We start from the raw sequence: 5,610 nt of genomic DNA, 5'->3' as shown, positions 1-5,610 counted from the left end.
CAGAAGTGAGGGTCCCTGTCTAAATCAAGCCGCTGTATTGGGCTTATTGTCCCGATCTGAAGTGCTTCAGCTTCTAGTGCTTCTCAATAGAAGTTCATTATTACAACGATAATAACAACTGTATAGATACACAGAAAAGAAGTTCCCATTTCATAAGGAAAAAAGAAACTCATTCAAACCAAGAGAGAATGAAAATTGCTCTTGTTCAGCAGCTCTACAATTCCTGCTTTCCCTTTCTGCTGGAAAGGAAGTTGAATTTAAAAGCTTATCTTGGTTCGATTTTCTTTTTCCCTAAACCAAAATAGAATAGCTATTTAGCTTGAAAATTTGTAAGAGCTCAAGTCAATTGGTTAACCAAACACACACACACACACACACACACACTTACATGCGCATCTTAATATCCTCATTATATAAAATCTCAATCACCAAAAATGACCCCCAAAATTATAAGACTCCAATATATGATTGAGCAAAGGACATAAACAGATGGTTCATAAGGAGGAAAGACACATGATAAAAAATATGAAAAAATTTTCAACACACAGATAATAAAAGAAATTCAGATGATAACGAGATATTGTAGGTGCTAATCAAAGTATCAAAGATTTTAAAAATTATAGCAAAAGAGTTCCTTGCTTTTGTGTAATGAGTTCCCAGATAATATGTGAAATTCACTCATCCTCTTCCAAATCAACATTACTGTCTGTGAAATGAACAATACAACCAAGCACACAGATCCTAGCCTCTGCTGGGAAAATCCCGTGTAAATCCACCATCCTTTTTGTTTCTTAAGTTCCTCCTTGGTAAAAAGTTGTTTGGCTCATGCCTGTAATCCCAGCACTTTGGGAGGCCGAGGCAGGCAGATCACCTGAAGTCAGGAGCTCGAGACCAGCCTGGCCAACAGGGTGAAACCCCATCTTTACTAAAAATACAAAAATTAGCTGGGCGTGGTGGCGAATGCTTGTGATCCCAGCTACTTGGGAGGCTGAAGCAGGAGAATCACTTGAACCCGGGAGGCAGAGGTTGCAGTGAGCCGAGATCGCGCCACTGCACTCCAGCCTGGGCAGAAGAGTGACACTCCATCTCAAAAAAAAAAAAAAAATGTTGTTTGTGTTCAGATTCTGAAATTTCACAATTCTCCCCAGGTACTGTTTTTCTTTGCCCCAAAGCCTTTAAGTCTTCGTTGATGGATATGTAGACACCTAATAAGTATTTGACCTGAAAGTGTCTTTCAAAGCATAGAATTCAGATGGTGATTTTACAAATGAAGAGAGTGAGGCTCACACATTCTGAAGGGGGGAGTCAGGCTTTTTACCATAAAAGTTTTTCCTTGGGGTAATGGTCAATATCCACCAAAATCCAGGTGGCACATGCTTGATACCCTTCTGAAAAGACTTAGTCTACTTCACTACTGGTTTTAGCAGGGTAGAGCCAGGGTCTCAGAACACAATGAGCTGCTCAGGTGAAAGAAGATCACACTAGGATTTCTGCTTTCTAATGCACCATCCTTTTTAAATTTTCATTTTTCTTACTGTTATAATGTATAGGTTAGTAGAGCACTTTACTTCTTGGGGATACATAATTAAAGTTGTTTTGCTGGTAGGATAGTGTTATCAAAAATTTGCAGGCAGCTGGAATAGTGAGATGTGAATGTGTCTGATCTCGTGCAATTCAGGAAGCAGGGCCTTCAGAGTGAAGGGAGGAAGGAAAGCTGGCTGTGGTCAGAGGAGATGACCAGCAGAGCTCCTAATAGAGGGCAAGAGTCACCTCCTCACCCCACAGGCTGCATTGAGACTAAGGCAACTGGAAAGTTCAACTGAATCACAAGGGCGTGCTGACATGCTGGGGAAAAGCCAAAATTTTTAAAGGTCATCTTGCCAGAAAAGTGGCTGCTGCTTAGGTCCTGTCCTGGCACCCTGGGCCCAGGATCCCAGGACTCAGCTCATGGGGAGCAGAGGGCTGTGGCATGCCAAGTCAAAGGTCTCATGGAGATGGTTCCAATTGGGAATCAATGGCAGAGATGCCAAGACAAGCTAAGGGGCATGGCAATCTGAGGATCCAAGCCACCTAGCACAGACACAGGGACAGGCAAGGGAACTAGAGACCTTAGCAGCTTGTCAGAGGGGAAGCGGAAGGCAGCAGGGGCCCAGAAGCAAACTCCCTATGTCAGATAGAGGTGTGTGCAGTGAAAATGAAGGGGGAACCAGAACCCCTTGCAGGAAATGTCCAGTGGAACTCCATGAAGTCCCTCGAGTCGTCTTTGAACCGCTGAGCCAGGTATTAGAGGACCCACAGCACACTTCTGAGCCTCGTTTCTGTCTCTCTTACCTACCACAAACTCTGGACAATCAGCTCGCACATTTGTTCCTTTATTCCCAAGGAGAACATGAGGAAAGGACGTAGATATCACCCAAATGTATAATTTACCAGGTAAGAAAAGCCCAATGGCTTTCTAATTATTTCTGGATGTCCCAGCAGCCTCTGTCAGGAGTGCAGGTGTAAGTAGCCTCATGTGCCTTTGCTCCGGCCTCCTTGTGGGAGTCCAGTACCCCAACCCCATCTTGGGAGATGCCGCTGGTCCAACCTCAGGATCTCCTAATGGAGTCAAGAGGTAAGGCTGATTTGAATTCACCCTTCTTCTCCTTAAAGCTAGTGCAACTCACAGAAAATTGAGAGCCAAATGGGAAACAAACTGTCAGTTTTCCTAACGGGTAGGCAGGTGTGTCTTAACCCCCAAGGCTTTCTGGGGGAGCCAGAGAGGAGAAAGTGACTTAGACCTGAGGACAAAGGAGATCCACCTGCTTCTCTAATTGTAGACCTTAAGCCTGCCTGTCACATGGACTGTAGCGTACTGAGCACAGGGGTGGTGCCGGGCAGGTACAGCTCCCAGCACTCTGCTGTGGACATCCTAACTCGCTAGAAGTTGACTCAGTCACAAACTATCTAAGTTTATAGCTGAAGCTCTAGCACCTGTTCTAGAACAGGAGAATCTGAAGGAGGAGATGAACTGAATTTAGCACTGATTTTCTTTAAAAATATTTATAGAAACTATAACATTTCTGAGTTATCTAGAAATGTTATTTTTGTTTAGTTTGGCTTTCTTTTTTTTTGCTTTCATCTGAAAATTAAACATTTTGAGGTAATTGTAGATTCACATGCACTTGTAAGAAATAATACAGGGAGATCCCTCTATCTTTCACCCAGTTCCTCCAACTTGGTAGTATCTTGCCAAACCATTGTACTATTTCATACCAGGACATTGACATTGATACCATCAAAATACAGACAATTTCCTTGGCTACAAGAGTCCTCCACATCCACTTCCCTCCTGCACCCACCCCTTCCTTAATCCTTGGCAACCACTGTTCTCCATATCTATAATTTTGTCTTTGCAGGAATGTTATATAAATGGGATTATACAGTATGTAATCTTTTGGGATTGCACTGTTTTTTTATTTGCAGCATAATCCTCTGAAAGTTGTTGCATGTATCAATAGCTTTTTAATCTTTATTGCTGAATGGTATTCCAGGGTATGGCGTACTACAGTTTGTTTAACCATCCACCTGTTGAAGGATATCTGGGCCGCTTCCAGTTTGGGCAATTGCAAGATGCTACAGACATTGATATACAGGTATTTTTGAGAACATAAGATTTTACTTTATTTCTCTGAGATAAATGCCCAGAAGAGCATTTGCTGGGTCTTATGATAAACGCATATTGAATTTTTTTGCTTTTGAGATGGAGTCTCATTCTGTCACCCAGGCTGGAGTGCAGTGGTGTGATCTTGGCTCACTGGAATCTTCGCCTCCAGGGTTCAAGTGATTCTCCTGCCTCAGTCTCCTGAGTAGTTGGGATTACAGGCACGTGCCACCATGCCCGGCTAATTTCTTATATTTTTAGTAGAGACGGGTTTTCACCATGTTGCCCAGGCTGGTCTCAAAATCCTGAACTCAGGTGATCTGCCTGCTTCGGTCTCCCAGCTTTGGGATTACAGGCATGAGCCACCATGCCCGGCCAGTTTGGTTTTTTTAAAGGTTGAGTTTTGAGAGTTCTTTATGTATATTCTAGATGCTAGTTCTTTGTCAAATACGTGATTTGAAAATATTTTCTCTCAGTCTATAGCTTGTCTTTTCATCCTCTTCACAGTGTCTTTCACAGAGCAAAAATTTTTAATTGTGATTTATCAAGATTTTCTTTTAAGGATCACACTTTTGGTGTCAACTCTATGAATATTTTGTCTAGCCCTAGATCCCCAGGATTTTTTACTATGTTTTCTTGTAAATGTTTTAGTTTTATATTTTACATTTAAGTCTCTTTACATTTTGAGTTAATTTTTAAAAAATTAGGTGTAAGAATTAGGTTGAGCTGAGTTTTTGTTTGTTTGTTTGTTTTGTTTTGTTTTGTTTTGTTTTTTGCCTGTGAATGTCCAATTTCTCCAGCACAATTTGCTGGAAAGGCTATTTTTCTTCCATTGAATTGCTTTTGTAACTTCATTGAAAATCACTTGGGCATACTTGTGTGGGTCTATTTTTGGGTTCGTTCCTCTGTTCTATTGATCGTTGTGTGTATTCTTCCACCAGCATCAAACAGTCCCAATTACTGTAGCTATATAATAAGTCGAAAATCAGGTAGACCGATTCCTCTCATTTTGTTCTTCCCTTTCAAAATGGTTTCAGCTATTCTAGTTCATTGCCTGTCCATATAAATTTTAGAGTAGTCTTGTCTATATCTACAAAGAAATCTTGCTAGGATTTTAATAGGAATTTCATTAAAGCTGTGTATCAATTTGGCAATGAATTAACCCTTTGCTGTGCTGAGTCTTATGACATGGTTTGTCTCTCCATTTACTTAGATCTTTGATTTCTTGCAATATTTTGTGTTTTCAGCATGCAAGTCCTGCTTATATATTAGATTTGCATCTGTATTAGTTTGTGATGGCTTCTGTAACAAAATACTACAAACCGAATAGCTTAAACAACAGAAATTTACTTTCTCACAGTTCCAGATGCTAGAAATCTGAAATCAAGATATCAGCAGAGTTGGTTCCTTCCTAGAGCTGTGAGGGAGGATCTGTTCCAGGGCCCTCTCCTTGGCTTGTAGATGGCTGTCTTCTCCCCGTGTCTCCTCACATCACCTTCCCTCTGTGCTCGTCTGTCTCCATGTCCAAATTTCTCCGTTTTATAATGGTGTTGTCAGATTGGATTAGAGCCTACCCTAATAACCACATTTTAACTTTACCCCGGTAAAGAGTCTATCTCTAAATAAGACCATATTTTGAGGTATGAGGTTTAAGATTCCAGCATATCTTTTTGGGATGAGAGGGGCAAAGCATAATTCAACCTGTAGCAATACCTAAGTGATTTGTTTATTTATTATAGTACAATTTTGAGTGGTATTGAATTTTCAATCATGGCGTCCGTATATTGAATATGAAAGATACTCAACAATATTAGTCATCAGGGAAATGCAAATTAAAATCATGATATGATATAATTTAACACCTCATATGTTAGCTAACGTTTTTTAAAATGATAATAGCAATTATTGGTGAGAATGTGGAGCAACTGGATTGCTCACATATTGCTGAAAAGAATTTAAAATCTTAC

Source organism: Homo sapiens, chromosome 8 (genome assembly GCF_000001405.40).
Source record: "Homo sapiens chromosome 8, GRCh38.p14 Primary Assembly".
NCBI classification, from domain to species: Eukaryota; Metazoa; Chordata; class Mammalia; order Primates; family Hominidae; genus Homo; species Homo sapiens.
This window is presented reverse-complemented; position numbering follows the sequence as displayed.